The sequence below is a fragment of the Homo sapiens genome, chromosome 20 (genome assembly GCF_000001405.40).
Source record: "Homo sapiens chromosome 20, GRCh38.p14 Primary Assembly".
NCBI classification, from domain to species: domain Eukaryota; kingdom Metazoa; phylum Chordata; class Mammalia; order Primates; family Hominidae; genus Homo; species Homo sapiens.
In genome coordinates this window covers 62,388,563-62,410,142 of record NC_000020.11, presented here as the reverse complement: position 1 = coordinate 62,410,142, position 21,580 = coordinate 62,388,563, and the positions used below count along the sequence as shown (strand labels likewise).

The 21,580-nt window shown below is 60.0% G+C and overlaps 1 protein-coding gene and 1 long non-coding RNA gene across 3 annotated transcripts, besides 4 other annotated features; both read left to right on the top strand.

Moving 5' to 3' along the window:
- Positions 2,692 to 2,941: a silencer, noted in NCBI's record as "silent region_13112". NCBI's record gives its function as "represses an Ori minimal core promoter by ATAC-STARR-seq in GM12878 lymphoblastoid cells {active_cell/tissue: GM12878}" and the evidence as "EXISTENCE:reporter gene assay evidence [ECO:0000049][PMID:35858748]".
- CABLES2 (Cdk5 and Abl enzyme substrate 2) lies at positions 2,858 to 21,509 on the top strand. 2 transcript variants are annotated; one of them, NM_031215.3, is made up of 10 exons: positions 2,858 to 3,228; positions 13,551 to 13,622; positions 13,736 to 13,828; positions 15,129 to 15,206; positions 15,878 to 15,986; positions 16,538 to 16,703; positions 17,120 to 17,223; positions 17,648 to 17,754; positions 18,690 to 18,894; positions 19,032 to 21,509. In NM_031215.3, the coding sequence occupies exons 1-10, from the start codon at positions 2,867 to 2,869 to the stop codon at positions 19,170 to 19,172; spliced, it is 1,437 nt and encodes a 478-aa protein (NP_112492.2). In that variant the 5' UTR covers positions 2,858 to 2,866; the 3' UTR covers positions 19,173 to 21,509. The 2 variants fall into 2 exon arrangements, with proteins under 2 accessions (NP_112492.2, XP_047296486.1); XM_047440530.1 differs by lacking the exons at positions 2,858 to 3,228; positions 15,129 to 15,206.
- Positions 3,249 to 7,911, top strand: LOC105372709 (uncharacterized). The gene is made up of 2 exons (XR_936967.3): positions 3,249 to 5,253; positions 6,619 to 7,911. It is a non-coding gene; the product is annotated as an uncharacterized LOC105372709 (long non-coding RNA).
- Positions 16,013 to 16,537: an enhancer, noted in NCBI's record as "H3K27ac-H3K4me1 hESC enhancer chr20:60968662-60969186 (GRCh37/hg19 assembly coordinates)". NCBI's record gives its function as "activates a minimal SCP1, AML or CMV promoter by ChIP-STARR-seq in primed H9 embryonic stem cells {active_cell/tissue: H9 hESC(primed)}" and the evidence as "EXISTENCE:reporter gene assay evidence [ECO:0000049][PMID:30033119]".
- Positions 16,754 to 17,254: an enhancer, noted in NCBI's record as "H3K4me1 hESC enhancer chr20:60967945-60968445 (GRCh37/hg19 assembly coordinates)". NCBI's record gives its function as "activates a minimal SCP1, AML or CMV promoter by ChIP-STARR-seq in naive H9 embryonic stem cells {active_cell/tissue: H9 hESC(naive)}" and the evidence as "EXISTENCE:reporter gene assay evidence [ECO:0000049][PMID:30033119]".
- Positions 17,255 to 17,755: an enhancer, noted in NCBI's record as "H3K4me1 hESC enhancer chr20:60967444-60967944 (GRCh37/hg19 assembly coordinates)". NCBI's record gives its function as "activates a minimal SCP1, AML or CMV promoter by ChIP-STARR-seq in naive H9 embryonic stem cells {active_cell/tissue: H9 hESC(naive)}" and the evidence as "EXISTENCE:reporter gene assay evidence [ECO:0000049][PMID:30033119]".
- Positions 21,510 to 21,580: the final 71 nt, after the last annotated feature.

The following is a 21,580-nucleotide window of genomic DNA, read 5'->3' as shown; positions in this document are numbered from 1 at the left end:
AGAGTCTGCAGCGGGAAGGGACCAGGGCACCCTCGGGGAAGTGCCTGGCCACAGCGGCGGCCGTGTGCACCTGCCCCTCCTCACTAGTCCCTGGCCTGGCAGCCACAGGGCAGCTCGCCAGGACTCCACCGGGAGCACTCAAGGCTGTCTGCTCCTCGGGGGAGGATGAGTATCAGTCCCTCCCAGCTTCGTGGGAGGAGCTTAAGAAATAGATTCTTGGGCCCAACCCCGGATCCACTGAACCAGGACTTTAGAGGTGAGCCTGGAGTCTGTGTTTTAAGAAGCTCCCAGAGGTAATTCTCCTAAATGTGAAGTCTGAGAACTGCCCCTTACAGGGCAGAGACACTGGGCACTGACACCTCTGCTGGGCATCAGGGAGCGGTGGGCAAAGGAGCAATGGCACCAAGTCATGGCCAGTGTTGGGGGACGGGGAGGAGAGCAGGTGTCCCTGGGAGGTCAAGGCAGGTGGCACCTGCAACCCAAATTTGGGTTCTGAGGGATGAACAGGAGTGTGCCAAGTAGGCAAGGAGCTAGGATGTTCTGGGAAGTTTGCTGAGACCCCAACTCTAGAAAAATGGACAAGGATCAGGCAGAAAGGAAAGGTGGGGGCCACGGAGGGGTGCCAGGGCAAGGGGGAAACTAAGAAGTCAGCCCAAGGGCCAGGCCTGCAGTCAGGAGCATCCAGACAGAGCCCTGCGCTTGACACCTGCTCAGAGTTCAGGGTGAGAGCCAAAGAAAATAAGGAGCGAAACTCATGAGCAGGGCCCTCTGCAGCCAAAGCACCAAGGTGAGCTGGGCATTTAAAACCACGCATCACAGGGATGGCAGGACACGGGCCAACGACTGGGCTGGGTGAGGCCTGGGCCAGACTGGGGTGCGGGCCTGACTCAGGGGGCACTGCCTCCCACCTGCAGCCTGTGACATGTCTGCCTGTTGTCCTGAGAGGCCAGAGGGACTGAACTCCCAAGAGGGAAGTCCAGGTGTGTTAAAGGTTGCTTTAATTTCTCCAGAATCACACGAAACAAAAGCCGTGTGTTCCCTACACACTGCCCGCAGGCCAGGTTGGCTTTTGGCCACCCATCGACACCCTGGGGAGGGGAGAAGACTGGCAGCGGGAGCCTAGCAAGGGGGTTCACCAGACCCAGGAAGAGACCCCGTTCCTTCCTCAGCATTCCTCCTTGTCCCTCAAAGTCTAGCTTAGCGCCAGCAAAGAAGAACTGGCTAGGGGCCCCCCTACTGCACAGCCGATCCCCAGGACCCGGCGCTGCAGCCAGCACGGACAGCTGCCTCCTGCCTCCTGCGTCCTGCCCTCCACCCTCACTCGCCCCTTTCTGTTCTCATCTGACACCAGATTCTCTGCAAGCTGCTGGTGTATGGCCCACCCTCCCCTGTCAGGCCCCTCCTCCTGGTGATAGCCAGCAGGGATGGAGGGCCCACTGTGTGCCTGCCCCAGCCTCAGCACCCTACAGCGCTGGACACACTCACTCCCCGCTCACGGGAGCCCCCAGGCACACAAGTCAGCACCCCATTCTGTGGATCCAGAATCCGCAGCCACCCCTCTGCTATGCCACCCAGCCCCGCGTTCTCCTAGACAGGACAGCTGCCCACCTTCCCCTAGGCCTGGCAGAGGCCTTGGAGGCCAACTTGGAAGGGCGGAGGGAAAGGAAATGGAGGTGCTGCATGCTGCGTGAGCCCCAATGGTGGCCCGTGAAGGCCCACAGGAGGGAGCAGGCAGGCGGGAGGTGGGTAGGGGCCTGAAGGGCAGGGGCCCATGCTAGGGGTGGTGATGAAGACCCTGTCTTGCCCACTCGCCCACTGCCTTGTTGGCCATCATGCTGCCTCCCCACACACCAGGTGCTCCTAGGGCCAGCGCTGTGCCTGTCGGTCCCACCGGGTCCCCAGCACCCAGCACAGGAGAGGCTGGGCGCATGCGGGCAGGTGCGAGGTACTGCAGCGCATTCGCGGACTGACCACTGCATGTGCCTGGCCTCCGGCCACAGCCCGACCCCCTCACTGAGCCAGTTTCATCCTGACAGTACCCTGAGGCTGAAATCATTGTCCCCTCTTTAAAGATACGTAAACCCATGAAAGAAAGCTGGACAGAGCAGGCAGGTGACACAGAGGTGGGTGCAAGGTCCTGAGTCCCTCCACAAAGATACAGCGGGTTCCCCTCCAGACTGCAGACAGGCTCCCGGGCTCCAGAGGCAGGCCCTGACCATCCCGGTGCCACGGGCTCACAGGTTCTGAAGTCAGGGGCACCCAGGCACAGAGAGGAAACAGGCCTGGGCACAAGGCAGGCTCAAGGTCACTTTGCTACTGCAGGAAGTGCAGGACTCTGCCTGGGGCTTTGATCCCAAGCAGGTGCCTTCTCCACTCAGACCCTCGTTCCCTTCTGTCAATGAAGGAGGCCAGATGGCACGCGGGCCCTTCCGGGAAGCGGTGGGGCTCCTCCAGGGGCCGCCCTGCGCCCGCTGAAGCGCCGCCCAGACACACCTCCGGACAGGGAAGTGTGCTGGGGCCTCACCCACGCCGCCCTGGGTCCGGAGCCTTAAAATGTGCGCTCGATGGAGGCCATCCGCGAAGGCCGCCATACAGCAAAGGGAACAGAAAGCGAGAGCCCCGCGGCCGCAGGTCCCAAGACGGGGACTCGAACCGGCGGGGAGGCGCGCAGCTCCCGACTCCCTGCTGCTGCGTCCGACCGCCTCTAGGACCCAGGGGAGCGCCCTGAGCGCGGCACCTCGCTGGCCAATGGGAGAGCGCGACGGCGATACATTTGCATGTGGGCGCGCCGCGGCCAATGGGCGGCGGGCGCGCGGGCGCGCGGGCAGGGGGTGGGGCGCTTCGCGGCGGCGGGCGCAGTCTGAGGATGGCCGCGGCCGCGGCCGGTGGAGCCCCGGGCCCGGCCCCCGGCCCCGCCGGGCCCCCGCCACCCGCCGCGCCGACCTCGGCCGCTCGGGCCCCGCCGCAGGCGCTGCGGAGGCGCGGGGACTCGCGGCGCCGCCAGGCCGCGCTTTTCTTCCTCAACAACATCTCCCTGGACGGGCGGCCCCCGAGCCTGGGCCCGGGCGGAGAGAAGCCCCCGCCGCCGCCCGCCGAGGCCCGCGAACCGCCAGCGCCGCCGCCGCCGGAGCCCCCCACCGGGCTGCCCGCCAGGACCCCCGCGCCCCAGGGCCTGCTCAGCCCCACGCAGGTGCCCACCGGCCTCGGCCTGGATGGGCAGCGCCAGAGGTGAGTGGGGGCCCGGCCAGGTCAGCCCAGGACGCGGGGTACAGGGACGGGGACGGGGGCCGGATCAGCCCAGGACTAGGGGTCAGGATTACTTGGGGCCTCATCAGCCCAGGACAAGGGGGTCAGGTGACCTGGGGCCTTGTCAGCCCTGGACAGAGGCCAGGACAAAGGGGTTGGGTTCACCTGGGGCCTTGTCAGCCCTGGACAGAGGTTCAGGTGACCTGAGCCCCTGTCAACCCAGGACACAGGGGTCAGGGTCAGTCTGGGCCCTCATCAGCCCAGGACACAGGGGTTGGGTTCACCTGGGACCTTGTCAGTCCTGGATACAGAACTGGGGGTTCCTGGGCTGGCTGAGGGTTTCCTCAGGCCCTGTCACCCCCCACACATAGGGTTCATTGTCCCCTGAATTCTCCCAGCCCCTGAATACGGGGTCTGGATCTCCACGTTGTCAGTGCTCTGAAATGGGTTTTAGGGTTCAGCCCTTATTACCCCTGAGACCCCCAGCCCTGTGGGTTCTGGACATGCCCCCACCCCCATCCACTGGTACCAGTGCCCGGGACACAGGGACACATGGACAGCCCTGTGCATCTCTTCGCATTCTTTGAACCGGGCCACACCGTCCATGCCCACCTCCTCAGACCCAGCATGTGGGCCGGGGTCCTCCTGGCACTGTCACTGACACCTGTTCCCAGAGGCCCCTGCACAGCCACATCTCCCATCCCACAGCCACTGGTCTCTGGCACCCCTCCTCTCCCTGTCACTTCCCTGCTGAGCCCCGCCCTTCCCCACATCACTCTCAGCTCGGTATCTTTGGGTCTGTCACACCCTGGGTCTCCACTGCTCCCCCTGCCTTGATTCCATTTCTGGGAACCACCTCAGCCCATCCCAGGGCAACCCCAACCATGAGCCCTGCCTGTCCAGCGTGTGCCCCCTGCCCAGATGGCCCCTGGCTGCCCGACACCCTGTGTCCTTCTCCCAGAGACCACAGGACCTGGGTGACCCTGCCTCCCACAGCCCTCACCTCCAGGAGTGACTGTGGGCTCTGGGCCCAGGACTGGCTGCTTGTTGCGGTTCCTTCTCAAAGGGAGCCACTGTCCACAGGTCCAAGTGCCTGCTGGGCGGCTGTTCCCAGAGGCAGCCCCTGCAGGTGTGCAGCAAAGGGGCCGACACAGAGCTCTTGGGTCAAGGCTGGCACGTGCTCCTTGCTTACCTGGAGGTCATCAGAGTTGCCCCACGCCCCTGGCCTTCGGGCAGGTGGAGGCATTGGGTTCCTCTAAGGTCTTTGGTTGGGGAAGTTTGGGCCCAGAACACAGCACTCTGTCCTCAAAGACTATGACGTCACATGCAGGTTGCGTCACACGCAGGTCGCGGTGCACTCCATCCTTGGAAGTGTTCCTGGCCGTAGCCAGGCTGAGGGTGCCTGCAGACCCAGGCCTGTCCACAAGATGTCCCCCCACGGACATGCCTGGCCGCTGCTCCAGGGAGGGTCAGAGGGATGATTGGGGCAGAGGGATGGATTTGCCCAAATGTGGCAGCCAGGCCCCATGCATTTGGCATGGCCAGCTCCTTCAGGAAGGCGGGAGAGATGGAACAAGGTGGTGACTCTCCAGGGCAGAGCGGCAAGGCCCTAAGGTGTGGACTCCAGGGGAAGCGGGCTCACCCCAACGGGCCGAGCTCCGCAGGTGTGGTGGGCTTTTCCCTAACCCCGGGCCCTGTTGTTTGACATGGAAACAGCTTTCTCCCTCAGTCCTGCATGTTGAGTGTCCAGAACCGGATGGTGACACCAGGCAGACTGGGTGCTGTCATAGGCCCTCCTTCCACAGAGTTCATGCACCCCTGTGTGCACCAGGCCTGGCGTGGAGTGGAGCCCACTTGAGTGGAGGGAGGCAGAGCGTGGCGACGCGCAGGGAAGTGCCTGTGACTGAGAAGGCACCCCCTGCAGGCCCAGAGCCTCCATGGTGACAGTTCTGAGCGCAGCATGCTGCCCACGTGCAGCACATCCCTGCCCTGTGGGATTGTTAGAAGGTGCGCTGTGGCCGGCATCCCTGGGACAGGATGGGACGTGGCATGGGCTGGGTGCCTGCAGTCCTCCTGCCGTACCCACCATGGGCCCAAGCGCCACCACCCCTTGCCTTGCCCAGGGCTGTCTCCTCCCTTCCCTCCTCCTTGGCCCCCATGTCCCTGTTCAGGTCTTTCCTGAACCCCACTCTGTTCCTGGAGGGGGAGGCGTCCCTCCTGGGGCTCTGCTGCCAAGTTCGTGGTGCTGACCTTGTTTCTGAGGGCCATGGCCCCTCCCTGATAGGTAGACCCCAGCGTGAGGACGTCCATTTCACCCTGCGTTCCCTGGGCCTGGCTGCTGATCGAGGGAAGGGTGGCTGCCCCGGCAAAAGGGGCTGCTAGCTCCTGGCTTGAGAGTTCTAGGATGAGTTGGTTTCAGGAAATGGAGAGAATTCTGAAAGTCCTGAAGGCAGCCCTGATGTTGGTCTTGTGAGTGTGGTGGTTTGACCTGGGCTCTGGGAACAGACTTGGCTTGGAATCCCAGCTGCACTGTTCAGTACCTCTGTGACCTTGAGCAGGTGACATGGCCTCTCTGAGCCTCAATCTCCTCTGAGAAGCGGGTTCACACTAAGCACTAAGCATGGCCTCCCTGAGGTCAGAGGTCAGATGCGTGCCCAGGGCTTGGTGAGGTATGTGGCAGGAGTCAGTGTGAGATGAGCAGAGCCTCTTTTTTTTTGAGACAGGGTCTCTCTCTGTCTCCCAGGCAGGAGTGCAGTGGCGCAATCACAGCTCACTGCAGCCTCTACCTCCTGGGCTCGAGTTATCCTGTCTCAGCCTCCCAGTAGCTGGAACTATAGGCACACACCACACCCTGCTAAGTTTTTATTTTAGCAGACATGGGGTCTCACTATATTGTCTAGGCTGGTCTTAAACTCTGGCTCACGTGATCCGTCTTGGCCTCCCAAGTGCTGGGATTTCAGGTGGCAGCCGCCACACCCAGTCAAATGGAGCCTCCTGTTACAACAAGGCTGCTCAGGGAACAGTAACTTCTCGGTCCTAATACTTATTCTTTCCCAGGGAGGCTCAGCCTGGTGTGGCACTTTGTGTTGAACCAGTGAGTGAATCATTAGAATCCTTGTTTTCCTCATAGAACTTCCAACCAGGTTTATTTTCACTTTTAACTTTGCCATTGCCTAATGCCCAAAAGCAAGTGGGAACTCTGGGCCTCCCCAGCTGGGTTTGAGCAGGTGCTGGGGTGTTCCGCCTGCAGCCTCCTCCCCGCCGCCCCCTCCTCCCAAACCCGGTGGCTTACGGCACCAGCGTGGCCTCTCCCAGCTCTGGAGGCCAGAAGCCCAACCTCAAGGTGTGGACAGACCCACGCTCCCTCTGCAGGCTCCAGGGAGGATCCTTCCTGCCTTTTCCCACTTCTGGTGGCTCCACGCACTCCCGGGCTTGTGGCTCCAGTTTCTGCCTCCGCCTCCGTGCCGCACTGTTCCTGCGTGTCTGTGTCTCCATGTGGTGATTTCCTCACAGGGACACCAGTCATTGGATTAGGACTTAACCTGTGACATCTTAACTTGATGACATCTGCTAAGACCCTCAGGGGGCGACACAGTTCAACTAAGACCCTCTTTCCATCCGAGGTCCCATTCACAGGTACTGGGGTTAGGACTTCACCCTGTCTTCTGGGGGCGATACCCTTCAACCTACAACAGCCCTTGGTGAGTGTCCACAACGCTAATGAGGTGAGAGTGGCATCCCCTCAAGCGAACAACTTTCCCCAAATTGCAGCCAGATGTGGCCCAGCAAAGAGCCAGGGTGCAGCCATCAGCAAGCAGAGCCCCCCAGTTCTGGAGGGTGTGTGCCGAGATGCTTCTGGGGAAAGGCCTGGGCCTGGGGCTGGGCTGCAGCTGTGGGACAAGCTGCTGTCTGGGCCAGGAGCCACTCAGCGTCGCCAAGCTGCTGTCCAAGTTAAACCAATTCAGCATCTGGCACCTTGTTTACAAGCGTGATTTGGGGGTTTCTTGCTCTCCAGCTGGCAAGCAGCTGGCAGTGGTCAGCTGAGGCCAGAGCCTGGGGGCACATCTCCCATGGCAGCCCAGAGGGCAATGGACACCCCCCACTCCGCCCAGCCCTGTGACCCCATATGGATGCTTTCGCTGGGTGAGGCTGCAGCCCCCGCAGGGAGTGCTGGACTTGGGCGCTTTTGCTTTACCTGGGACTTGATGAGATGGGGCACCCGAGACCAGCCACGCATTCCACAGCTGTGCCCCAGGGTCCAGGGGATGGGGCTGGGGGTGGTCGGACAAAACCACTGCCCACACTTGGAGCTGGGGGCAGCCGAACAACACCACTGCCCACGCCTTCCTGGCGAGAGACGGTTCCAGTCTCCCCGGTGCTGGCGTGGGCACGCCGTGGGACAGAAGCGCAGTCATTCGGCAGAGGCTCCCGGCTGTTCTCACATTGTCAGACCCACCGTCAAGGTCATTTCAACGGCCCCTTTGCCCGGCCGGGCCTCCTGAGTTCCCTCTGAGCCTCAGAGCAGCTCGTACACACAGCTTTGGGTTTCTAATGGGGATGGGGTCTTCAGGCCTCAGCCCCTTCTGGGCATTTCTTCCGTTACAAAGGAAAGGAAATGTACCGAACACTAGAAACAGTGTTTAATAAATAGCAGATTTCTCTTCCTGTCTGTGAGCATGACTTTGGATGGAGGCTTGGTGGCCCGCCATTTAGTGCTGAGAGTGAGTGAGGTGTGTCAGCAGACTGGGGGGGCAGACTCCCCACTGCCCCAACCCCCAACCCCTTCTTCCCAAGTCAGATGCAGGCAGCTTTGAGCTGGTCACTGCCACGTGGGGGGAACCACGAGTAGGCACCGCCAGTGTAACTCTACGGTGGCTGAGCAGGAGCGGGGCCTCCTGGGACTCAGCAGAACTTGCATTTGCCCCAGCATGTGGGGTGTGGGGCGTGGGCCTTGCCGAGGGCCTCGTTCTTTCTGCTTTGCTCGCTTGTTCCTTGCATGTTTTGGACGGAGGGGTCTGGTGCACGCAGGATGAGTGAAGCACATGGAAGGTGCGTGCAGCTCAGTGCATTTGCCTGGGCACACCCCACGGAGCCACTCCCCTGCGGAGACACAGGCCAATCCCCCAGCTCCCTGGTGCCCCTCCTCAGCCCCTCCCCCACACTGAGGGGACCTGTGTCACCACATGACGAGCCTCTCAACCCGTGTGGCGTCTGTGTGCACCTGCAGCATGCTGTGCATGCCGTCCCCTGATTGCGCATGTCCCGCCTCCTGCTGACCGGCGTGTGTGCTGCTTCCAGCTAGGCGTAAGGTGGTACATCTGCACATGCGTGATCCTCTCCATGTCTGCCGGACACACCGACACCTCTCTGTGGGGCCCGGGGCGAGCAGGGGTCCATCTCATGGGTTCCCAGCCCATCCTCCAGAGGCACCAAGCAATGGACGCTGGCCTGGGTCCCATCTGCACTTGCCAGTGCCCGTCCCGTCAGCAGCAGCGCCCTGCTGCGGTGATGCGTGGAGTTGCAACAGCCCTGGTTCTGGAAGGGAAGCACCTCCCTCGTTCTCCCTTGACACCAGCTCCCGTGGAGGCAGAGGGGAAGGGAAGGCCAAAGCGGCGTCCTCCCCACTTGGCCGCCCTGCCCTGCACCCATGTGCAGGCACCTCCTTCAGCATTGTCAGAGTCTTGTGGACTCAAACCAAAAAACGTGACCTGCAACGGGGCCAGGTTCACAAAATGAGCCCCTGAGAGACAGTGGAGAGCGGCCACCATTCCAACTGACACAGTGGGAGCGGCGCCACTGGGTGCCAGAGCCCGGCCGTCCACGTGGGCTCAGGTCCCCACTCTGTCTCTTACCAGCCATGTCATCTTGGGCAAGTTGCTAAACAGCTCCTTGCCTCAATTTACCCACCCATGAACTGAGCGTCAGAATGCTGCCTCCTTCCTAGAACTGTGCAGATCTAGTTTACTAATAAGATGCTTACAAAAAAAGAAAAGAGAAGGAAATTACAGAGAAAGATCTGTAGAAGAACCTGCTGGGAACAGATTTTAAAGCATAGTGGAGAGAAACCCATCATTCCTGCAGCGACCAGAAAATCACGGAGGAGCCAGGCCAGCCGGCAGCAGCGTCAGCCTCCCTGCTGCAGCTCCTCTGCGTCCTGGGCCAGAGGATCCAACGGTACCACCAGGCAGGCTGCCGCGGGGCCTCAGGCTTCTGCTGGGACCCCCACGGGCCTCCAAATGAAGTCCCAGGCATGCAAATACCCAGGCATCCCCTGGTAATTACCCGTGGGAAGGAGCTTCCAGAAAGACACACAGGCTGGTCCTCAGGGCCTCCAGGCCCAGCCTTGTAGGTCAGGACACACAAACACCTCTCTGGGGACAGTCCCCAAATCTCCTCCTTCACTGGCTTCTTTCCCCAGTGTGGGCCCTGCCCATCCAGCCTCCGCTGGGCTCCTCTTGGGGCAGTCTGTCCGCCGTCACCCATCACAGGCCAGCACTCACCTGGGCCTCTCGGGACAGCCGGCGTCTGCCACACACCCCCTCAGCATGCAGCTGGGTGCTCTGCCCCTCCCACTGCCCTCAGAGCCTGCTGCCTACCCCAGCCCCTTAGCTCCTCCTTCCCCACCCACCCCACTGTGCAGGCCAGCCCACCGCATCCCCAGCCCTTCCTGGTCCCATCATCCAAGTGCTCTCCTCTGGCCAGCTGCTCACCCACCTTCTGCAGCCATCCGGCTGGTCCCCTGCCCCCACCTCCAGCTGGGACTGGGCAGGTGCACAGCTGTGTCTGGTGATGGCGCCAATGTGAGGCACCAGGCGTTTTAGTGGATTTTCTGCTTTCAATCCTAGCTTGTTTTCAACAAGCTCTTGTTGACTTTGCCTTTTAAAAGATTTTAATCACATCTTAAGTTCCTGACTTCAAACTGTACTTGGTACCCCTACAACCATGTTCTTTTTCACTTTCAGTACAGTATCCAACAAATTACAGGAGCTATTTCACACTTCGTTATACAATATGGTGGCTCACGCCTGTAATCCTGACACTTTGGGAGGCCGAGGCCAGCGGATCATTTGAGATCAGGAGTTCGAGACCAGCCTGGCCAACATGGTGAAACCCCATCTCTACCAAAAATACAAAAACTAGCCAGGCATGGTGACAGGCGCCTGTACTCTCAGCTACTCGGGAGGCTGAGGTAGGAGAATTGCTTGAACCTGGGAGGTGGAGGTTGCACTGAGCCAAGATTGTGCCACTGCACTCTAGACTGGGCCACAGAGTGAGACTCTGTCTCAAAAAAAAAAAAAAAAAAGGACCTGACCCCATCATCAGTCGAGCATCTGTTCAAAAAAAAAAACAGGCCGGGCGTGGTGGCTCACGCCTGTAATCCCAGCACTTTGGGAGGCCGAGGCAGGTGGATCACGAGGTCAGGAGATCAAGACCATCCTGGCTAACAGGGTGAAACCCCGTCTCTACTAAAAATACAAAAAAATTAGCTGAGCGTGGTGGCGGGCGCCTGTAGTCCCAGCTACTCAGGAGGCTGAGGCAGGAAAATCACTTGAAGCTGGGAGGTGGAGCTTGCAATGAGCCAAGATGGCGCCCCCTCCACTCCAGCCTGGGCAACAGAGTGAGACTCCATCTCAAAAAAATAAATAAAATAAAATATGGTGGCTCACGCCTGTAATCCCAGCCCTTTGGGAGGCCGAGGCCAGCGGATCATTTAAGGTCAGGAGTTTGAGACCAGACTGGCCAATATGGTGAAACCCCATCTCTACTAAAAAATACAAAAAAAATTGTCGGGCATGGAGGCAGGCACCTGCAATTCCAGCTACTTAGGAGGCTGAGGAGAGAGGATTGCTTGAATCCAGCAGGCGGAGGTTGCAGTGAGCCAAGATGGCGCCATTGCACTTCAGCCTGGGTGACAGAGAGAGACTCCATCTCAAAAAAAGAAAAAAATGACAGCATCAATGTTGGCGTCAAGGTGACAGCCTTGGTACCAACCAGGACTACACTGGCTGTGTGACCTGGGCAAGGGCCAGGCCTCTCCGTACCACTTGATAAATGGGTGTGGTTGTCACTGTGAGCCGTCGAGTGTTGGTGAGGTGGTGGCTGTGGCACTCTCGCTGGCACAGGTGGCACCCACCATGGGACTGTGGCTGTGCCCAACCCAGCGCCTTGGGACAAACACTGGCTTTCAGTGGGAGGCTCCTGGCAAGGGCATGGTGTGGGGACCTGGACTCCAGGCCGGCTCCACCAGAGAGGGGGCCTGAGTGCACCAGGTCTTGTGTGTAAGCCGGGGTCCTGCTGGGGGAAGGCCCATGGGACCCTGAGGACGGCGCTGGCCTGGAGCCTGGAGAGTTCCCAGAAGTGACCCCCAGCAGTACACCTGCCCTTGGCCCGGAGTCCAGATTGGGTGACACTTAATAAAAAGGCTACTGTTGACACGCTGAGAATGCCCCATGCCAAGCCTGGGGGCCAAGTTGCTCCATTTAATAAACCACACAGCACCCTGCAGAGGGCCCCATCACCATTACCACCACCGCCATCACCACCGTCATCACCATCACCACCATCGTCACCACCACTGCCATCACCACCGTCATCACCATCGCCACCATCACCACCACCACCACCGCCATCACCATCACCACCACCATCACCATCATCACCACCGTCACCACCACCACCATCACATCACCATCACCACCATCATCACCATCACCACCACCACCATTACCACCATCACCGTCACCACCACCACCACCATCACCACCGTCATAACCACCACCACCACCACCATCACCACCACCACCACCGTCACCACCACCACCACCGTCACCACCACCATCGCCATCACCACCATCACCATCACTGTCACCACCACCACCACCGCCATAACCATCACCATCATCACCACCACCGCCATCACCACTGTCACCACCATCACCACCACTACCGTCACCACCATCACCACCACCACCATCACCACTGCCATCACCATCACCACCACCGCCATCACCACCACCAACTGCTCCCTTCTGGGGGCCAACAGCCCTGCAGGGCAGGCAGGATCCTCAGACGTGCCACGCCACATCGCCCATCATTGTCATCGCAATTGGAGTGGTTTTCCAATACTGCAACGTTGTATCAACTGGCATGGGACCTTATCTCCTAAGCTGTGCTTTTGGAATGCCTTGGTGCTCAGGCACACATTCATGGCTCCCGGTATAAGGGAGAGAACAAAGCTTTGGAGTCCCCGACAGACCTGGGTTCAAGACCCAGCTCTGCACTTGGAGTTGCGTGACCCTGAGAGTTACTGAACCACGTCATGTCTCCGCATCAGGATGGCCTCGCTTGGTCCCGAGTGTTGAGGGTCTGAGGAGCAGTGGGCATTGTGCCCTGAGGGGTCTTCAAGGAAGTGCGTTGTACAGTCATTCAGCCAACAAATATTTGCCTGCACGTTTCGCTTATGGGAAACACCTGGGAGACTCCTGAAGTCCAGGCAGGAGGGCAGGCACTAAGGACAGCAGTGAGTGGGGACAGACCCTGCCCCATCCATGGGGCCGGCACTCTGGAAGGGGAGGCAGACGGCAGGTGGGTGGTGAGGCAGGGATGCCTCCTTCCTGTAGTGACCAGTGCCTTGAGCAAGTCACAGAATAGCAGGATCCGGGCAGCCTCCCTCAGCGGGCCACCTATGAGCCAAAAAGTTCAGAAAGAGGTGGCCACTGGAAGAGCAGGAACAGAATGTTCCAGACGGAGGAGCAGCCCCCGTGACGGCACTGAGGTGGGAGGTTGTGGCTGGTGCAGGGAGCTGCAAGCCAGGGGAAGGTGGCCTGAGAGCAAGGGGTGCCCGGTGCCCACCCCGCCTGCCCATGCCATGGTGCCCCAATGCCCAGCTGTGCTTCAGGGAGGGGCAGGCAGCACCAGTCTCAGGCAGCGCTGGGTGGGATGGGCCTGTCAGAGTTGGTGGTGCCCCCAGCAGGGTGTTGCTTGGGGCCGAGCGACCCTCGGTGGGCAGGGCAGGTTGGCGTGCTGTGCTGTGCTGTGCTATCCTATGCCTGAGGAGCCTGTCCCCCAGGGCTGCTGGTCCCCAGAGAAGAGCTCAGTGCCTCCAAAACAGGAACCTCTCAAGGCAGGAGGTGCCCCTCCTCCCCGCCTCAGTCTGCATGGGCTCTGGAAGCCCCTCGGCCCATGGGTGCGCCGCTGGGCTGGAGAGTGGCCCTTCCCTGCACAGCGGGCGGCACTCGGTTTCTGGCCACAAAGGCGGCACCCGGGCTGGTGGCCTGTTTTGAGGCTCCATTGTCATCTTGCAGGAAGCGAGTCACGTCCCAGCGCTGCTCCCTGGAGTTTCTGGAAGATGCCGTGGGATGCGCTCCAGCACAGAGGTACACGCCCCCGTCCGCCCCGAGCTCTACGACTCCGCTCGGGCTGCCACTGACCCCTGCGGGGCCAGAGGGTCCTGGGAGGAAAAGAGTGACCTGTGTCCTTTGCCTTGCAGAACCAAACACACATCTGGATCACCGAGACATAAAGGCCTGAAGAAGACCCACTTCATCAAGAACATGAGGCAGTACGACACCAGGAACAGCAGGTATGAAGCGGAGCCGGGAACCGGGCCAGGGCTGTGGTCTCCATAAGCCCACGGGGTCCTGCCCCTGTCAGCCAAGCAATCTTCCCTCCACTCCCAAAGCTCCCGCCCACCCCACACTCCACACCTCTAGAGGTGGGCCCTCCTCCCCACCACACTGCTTGCTCCACATCAGCCGAGCACCCGCAGGTCCCTGGTGTCACCACAGCGAGATCACCCTCTCTGGGCTCCCAGGTGAAGGGTCACACGTGGACACTAGCCTCCAGCAACAGTGCTGACGTGAAGGAAAACTGGAGACACAGAAACGGGTGTGGCTGTGAGATGTGTGGGGAGGAGGGCTGGGCTTTGTTGGGAGCACGGAGGAGAGGCTGAATAAACCAAACACCTGGCTGCCCAAAGCTGGCGGAGGGCCGCAGCTGGCACCGGCTGCACCCTGAGAGGCTGTGTCGGGGAGGCCGCAGGGGCTGTTCCTGTGGCCCCGTATTCCCATCACTGCATGTCCTGAGGTGTCCTGAGGTCCAGAGTGCTCCCTTCCTTCTGGAGCTCCCCCTGCCGGGCACCCTCCTTGTGGTGACTGTGGGTCTGGATGGACCCTTGCTCCCCATCAGTCCTGTACAGCTCCCAGCAGACGTGAGTGCCAGCCCTGGCTCCCGTCATCCAAGCCAGAGAGGGGGAGAAGTTCTCCCACTGTTGTCCCCCTGGTGAGACCCTGGGCCCAGGCAGGGCAGAGCCAGCGTCCAAGGGAGGAGAAACAGTGGCTTCTGCCTGTGCTCTCTGGGCCCGGGGCCCGGCTGCTCGAGCGCCTTGGAAGGGAGCCTCCAGGCCAGCCTCTCTGTGGACCTGGATCAGGCCCTTTCTGGTGGTGTTGAGCCCCGCTCCACCCAGGACCTCTGAGGTCTGGCTCGAGGCAGCCCTTGGCCTCGCCATCCTGTCCCCTCTGGCTGCCTCTCATCTCTGAATGAGCCAAGATCCTGAGGTGAGGCCGCCAGCCCTACCCGCACTGGGTCAGGAAGGAGCCTTCGGGATGTCACTGCTGTGCCTGCCCACGTGCAGCGGCGTCCCAGGGAGGGGAACCCCGGTAGCTCCTGTAGGGAATCCACTCTGAGAGCTTGCGGGGGCCAGGCTTAGTGACGGTGGCCACCCGGCCTCCTGGGCTCAAGTCCCCTTGGACAGCATGGGCAGTTTCCCAGCACCTGAATTTAGGCAGAAGGAATTTTCCATGGAAATGTCTGTAGCTCTGGAAGCAGCAGTACCTTGAGCCCCGCTCCCCGGCCCCGTCTCCCCTGACTCCGTCCCCCTGCAGGATCGTGCTCATCTGTGCCAAGCGGTCCCTGTGCGCGGCCTTCTCGGTCCTGCCCTATGGGGAAGGCCTGCGGATCAGGTGAGTACTCAGCGCTTGCCTCGCATGCGGTGTCCATCTAGGCAGAAGGCAAGGCCTGGTCTCGGCCAGGCCCAGGAGGCATCAGCGGGCACTGCGCCCCCAGGTGCGGCTGCCCCCGGGCTCATGCGAGGCTCAGCATGTCAACCTCCAGCAAAGCTCCTCAGGAACCCGGGGCCGTTTCGGGTCCTCACTCTCCAGAGGAGCCGGTTTCTGTTCACGCTGTCGATGTACAGGTGGCTGGGCTGTCCCACCTCCTGTGGACAGAGCCACTTGGTGCTGTGACCATCCAGGCAGTCGTATCCGTGCGTAATTCAGGGAAGGAGGAAACAGCTATGGGGTGGGGATTATGTGTGGCCCTGGCTTAAAAACAGTGGTGGAGAAACCTGACCAGGCGTGGGCACATGTACCTAGTGGGCTAGTGAAGGTGGGCGCCACCCCGGGGGCTCTACCAGCCAGTGTCTGTACTGGGGAAGCGGGGCTCAAAAACCCCTCCTTCCATGAAAGCACTCCTGACGTGCGCCTTCCTGGTCACACCAGTGCCGCCTTTCTTTCCCGAGGGGCTGTGCTGACATTGTTCCCGAGAGCACCTCGGGCCAGCGGACAGGTGGGCTGGGCTGCCAGAGCCTGAGTTCAGCGCAGACCACAGCCCCTTGCCTCTCCCATGTTTGCAGTGACCTGAGGGTGGACAGCCAGAAGCAGAGGCACCCGTCCGGCGGCGTCTCTGTGTCTTCCGAGATGGTCTTTGAGCTAGAAGGTGTGGAGCTAGGAGCAGACGGGAAGGTAAGAGCCTCTTCGCTGGTGGACACCCAGCGCCGTCAGGGCCAGGCAGGCGGGTGGGAGCAGTCCCACGTCAGTGCCCACGAGGCACACGTGAAGCTGTGCTTCACTCCACGTAAAACGCAAGGGTGGAGTGGATGCGGGCCCGTGCAGCCCTGAGAACGTGGCCCTGGAGCCCGTCGGACTCCCCCGCCTGGCCGTGCCTGAGGTCTGCGCCACTGCCCCACAGCCAGGTGCTCCTGGACACCCCCCTGCTGCAGGGTGGGGCTCGCCAACCCTCTGGCCTCTGTGCTGGTGGTCAGCAGTCTTCAGAGGCAGGGAGAACGTTACAGGCTACAGAACCCAGATAAAGCACAGTAGTGTTCCGGAATGTTCTAGCTATGTGAGGAGCAGCGTCTAGCTCAGACGCAGCCTCAACGGCTTGATCTGAGTTGTTCCCTTCATTTTCCATGCAGGGCTCCTGGCATGTGCGTCTGGGCTTCCTGCAGCGGGAGCTCACTTTGCCCTCTGGTCCCGGGAGGCAGAGCTGAGGCCAGATGCATTTGCTTTTCCAGGTCGTGTCTTATGCGAAGTTCCTGTATCCCACCAACGCCCTGGTCACACACAAGAGTGACAGCCATGGCCTGCTGCCCACACCTCGGCCCAGTGTCCCCCGGACTCTGCCAGGGTCAAGACATAAACCTGCCCCCACCAAGTCGGCACCAGCCAGCACAGAACTAGGTAGCCCACGTGCCTTAACCACGGCCTGGAACAGGGTGACCCGCGTGCCTTAACCACGGCCCAGGGACTGCAGCAGCATCAGCAAGCCCCTTTCAATCTGTAGCCCTCCGTGCAGATGGAGCCTGGGGAACAGGGTCAGGAGAGGAACAGCTCCACACTGAATCGCTATCCCTGGGCTTGGCCTGAGCCAGGCAGTGGGGAGGAGCTGCATCCACCCACAGATGACTCCAGGGAGGGCCCCTCCTCTCAGGACATCCTTTTCTTGCCCTAAGCCCTGGGCCCTTCAGGAGAGAACCATGGCCTAGAGCCCCTCCCCTGCTCGGCCTTGCCCCGCCATGGCGCTGGCCTGCCAGGCCTTGGGGCTAGATGGGTACTGCTCAAGACTCCTGGTGGGTCAGGGGTTGCCTCTCTTACAGGGAGTGACGTGGGGGACACCCTGGAGTACAACCCCAACCTCCTGGATGACCCGCAGTGGCCCTGCGGCAAGCACAAACGTGTCCTCATCTTTGCGTCGTACATGGTGAGTGCCCTCTCCCAGGGCCTGGGTGCAGGCAGCTGCACACCTGTCCTGGCTCGGGGCGTGTGGGGCAGGCTGTGGGCAAAGCTGCCCCAGGGGCGTGACGTGCCCCCATCCCGGATCGCAGCAGCACAGACAGTGGCGGTGTGCAGGGCAGGCCAGGGAGCAGTGCTGGCCACTCCAGCTGGGGTCCACCCTTGCCCTTCCGCCCTCGGCACCTGGCAACCTGGCTCTCCCCACACCAAGCAGGCATGGGCTCTGGAGTTCTCTCTCTTGAGCCATTTTGTTCTCAGAGATTCGGGGCCTCTCAAGCCACACCGTATGCATGTTTGCAAACCCAGGACAGTGAGAAATCCATCGTACCCAGCAGGCAGGACCCATGGACTGTGCGAGGGGCCGGCCCAACCCTGCCCACTCTCTGTTGCAGACCACAGTGATAGAATACGTGAAGCCCTCAGACCTCAAAAAGGACATGAACGAGACCTTCAGGGAGAAGTTCCCCCATGTCAAACTGACGCTGAGCAAAATCAGGAGGTGAGGACACCCTCTCAGACCATCTCATCGTCCTGGGAGGCCCTGCCAGCCTCTCCTCTCCAGTTTCTGGTAGATTCTCTCCAGCTTGACAAGTCTAGCCGCTGCCCATCCCCAACCCCCTCTCGCCATCCGACCAGGCCCCCAGCAGCAGCTCCCCCACCTCCACCGCCCGCCAAGCCAGGCCCCCCGTGGCCCCATCACACTGCATCCCCCCACACACCACTGGGTCTCTCACAGCCAGACCCTCGCAGCAGCCCAGGATCTTTTTAAAACTTGAGTGGGACAAGGCCTCTGTTGTGCCCGGCCCCTCCCAGTGTGTGCTATTTTGTGAGTAGATTCCGTGGCCCTTCCCCTGGCCCACAAAGCGCCCCCATCCAGGCATGCTGGGTGCTCGCCAAGGCCGTCCAGGTGTGCCTCTGCTCTCACATTGTGCCACGCTGATGACCCATGACCGGAGGAAAGCGAGCAGAAGGCGGCGGAACTGCTGGGCTCACGTCGGGCTCCTGGCCACGGCCCTGTACTGGGGGCCTGCCCTGCCGGCCTCTGCCCCAGTGTTCCAGAGGGCAGCTCACTCAATACCCTGGCACCTCCCTTCAAGGCTCTTCCTAAAACCACCCCTCATCAGAGACCACTGCCCCCCACCGAGAGCAGAGCCTGTCCTCTGTGGCTCCACCCACCAGGCACAGGTGGGAGCTGCCATGGGTGCCCACCCACGGGACGGGGGAAGCCAAAACCCAGCCTGCCGGTCCCTGCCCATGCGCCCTGCCCTGGGCGTTATACATGGTACGGCGGAGGGTACCATCCCCTGAAGGATGCGGTGGTGTTTCTTGCGGCCCAAAGCTACATCGCTCCAGCCTCGGTTGGTGGTGGCAGGGGGCTGCCTCCTCAGCCCCAGCCAGAGCCCCCAGGGACATGGCTTCTGTCTTAACCCACAGCTTAAAGCGGGAGATGCGGAGCCTGTCGGAGGAGTGCAGCCTGGAGCCCGTGACGGTGGCCATGGCCTACGTGTACTTTGAGAAGCTGGTCCTGCAGGGCAAGCTCAGCAAACAGAACCGCAAGCTGTGCGCTGGCGCCTGCGTGCTGCTGGCTGCCAAGATCAGCAGTGACCTGCGCAAGAGCGGCGTGACGCAGCTCATCGATGTGAGTGCCCGGCTCGGCAGGCACTGCAGGCAGGGTCATGACATCGAGCCAGGGCCACTGCTGGGATGGGGCTGGCCGGGTGGGAAATGTGGAAGAGGGAAGGCTCCCGTGTAACCCTTCTCTCTTCTCCCCTGCAGAAGTTAGAAGAAAGGTTTCGATTCAACAGGCGCGACCTGATAGGGTTTGAGTTCACAGTGCTCGTGGCCTTGGAGCTGGCCCTGTATCTTCCCGAGAACCAAGTGTTACCTCATTACAGGCGCCTCACCCAGCAGTTCTAGCAGAGGCCCCACAGAAGGCTCAGGGCACCGAGGTGCACTTGCCGGCCTGGGAGGTGTCCCACTGAAGCCCCGCGCCTCCTCCTGCCAGCACCCCCAGCACCTGCTAGCAGGAGGCACCTGGCCTCCGCTGGTGCAGCTTTCCTTTTTGCCTCTTTGCCATTTCCTTGGAAAGAGACGTCGCTTTCATCCCCAAGTGCACCGTCCCTCCGAGGGGATTTCTGAGAATTCTCCTGCATTTTTACATAAACTAAATGTGAGGTTTGTTACTGGTATTTTTTTCACGTGCCTGAGACCAGCCTGGTACCAGGACCTTTTGTTCACAGCGTGCAGCAGCGAGCCGGCTGCAGTGTGTCTCCCCTGGCCTCGCCTTCTGCAAACCACCGCAGCCACCACAGCGTCAGGGTGGAGATCTGGGTTTCTAGACCTCACTGAACACACTGGAATGGCTGAGTTTAACTTATTTAGGCATTCATCTTGGAGATGTGGTTTTTCGGGTTCCCCAGCAGCATCTCCCGACACCAACTGTGCCGCTGGCTCCCTGCCACCTGAAGCCGAGCTCCTCCAGAGCTTTCTCCGCCCACCTCACTGCATCCCAAGTGGAGCTTTTGGTGTCCAGTTAGGCCAGCGGGAGCAGTCTCCTGATTTATTTTGATCTCATTCTTGGACTCTTGGACCTCTCTGTTCTTCAAGCATCGTGTCACTGTGAAATCCTAACGCCCCTGTGTCCTACAGACCGACGGCACAACAGACAGCTGCCCATCCCATGCCATGCTCTACCCTCTGCCTCTCACCAGGAGACACTCTGGGCCTCCAGGACAATTGCTGCTTGCCGGCTCTTATTTTTCTAAGCAATATTGTGATGGAGAAAAATAACATATTTATTGGGATTTGGTTTTTTGGGTCTTTTTTTTTTAAGGGAACAAAAAATGGTTAAATGAGGTCTGCTGAAGTTGACTTGAAAACACACTTGACCCTCAGGCAGGAGGGCACTGACCACACCCCACACAACCTCAAAGGGTCAGTGCGTCAGTGCCTTTTCTTCTGAGGCAGGAAACAGGTGCCATCTTGGCCACCTCGGCCAGGGCAGCCCACCATGCTAAAAGGACCCCAAATGGTGGTCGTTGTCCCTTCTGTGCAGGCCAGCAGGGCCCCATCTCTAGTTTTTCCACGTCTGTCTGAAGTTCTTGCAACAAATTCTGCATGGTCCAGCGCTCCAGCTAGCTGCCTCATCAAAAACACTGAATAACCAAGGACTGCTGAGTTTTTCTTCATGGGGGGTCAGCTGGTCTCAAAACTGGCCACTGCCTCAGCCACCAAGCTTTTTCCTACCACTACCTTATAAACCTGCCTGGCCCTGGAGGGGCTCTGGGACGACTTTGTCTCTAGCCCATTAATACAATACATCCTATGCTTTCTGTGCAGACTGGTGCTTCCGCAGAAAGGAGATGCCAATTCTGCTATCACAGAACTCCACCAGCAACTCCACCCGACCCCAGCAGTGGTGCAGGACAGCTGCCAGCACCCACCTGGCCCTCCTCCTTTTCCACAGCCACTCACTGGGGCCACCAAAACCCAGAGATGGCAGGTGTGTGGGACAGACTGGAGGATGAGGACAAACCAAAGCCTTTGTTCTTTCTTATTGTGGAGCGTCCCCTTCCATCAAGCAGCCTGCCCTCAAGCCAAGGATCATCCCCTGGAACCCAGTATGCACCCAGAGGGGACTCAGCTTCAAAGCTGCTCCACCATGCTGGGTCCCAGGCAGCTTTCCTCTGAAAAGCAACCTCTCCTGCCACCCAGATCCCATCTCAAGAGCTCGCCCATGTTACGAGCATGTAAAGGACTGACTTCCTAGTAACTGTTGCAGTTTACAACCTGCCCTCCAGGGACACGTCTCCATGGTTTTTCCTACACATGAATGCGAGAAATGGCTGATAAGCACAGTAATTTAAGATTGCGTATTCATGTAGTGAGATTTAGTCATTAACCAACCCGGTCTTTGTGATGTGTGAAGCCTTCCCTTCAGTTATGTCCCATTTTTATGATGCCAAAAGCTGCCACTGTGTGGTATTCGAGGATTATTGCAACAAAGCCAGTAGTTAAACCAAACTACAGTCTCAGCCTGTCATTCTCTAGAACACATCCAGGTGTCGGAGCTAAGGTGTTCAGCTCGGCTGTGACTATACAGAACCAGGCCTGGCGTTGCTTCCGCACCGGTAGCAGTTGTGGATGTCAGTGTGCATAAGCAAGTATCAGACCTCAGAATGTTTGAGTTATTTTGTCTTAGATATCTGTTTTTAAATGGATAATGTATTTGTCCTTTAAACCTCAGTTTTGCAATATGTTTCACAGCTTGTCTCCTTTCAACTAACTGGGTACCCTACCCCACCCGTCACCCACTGACAGCAAAA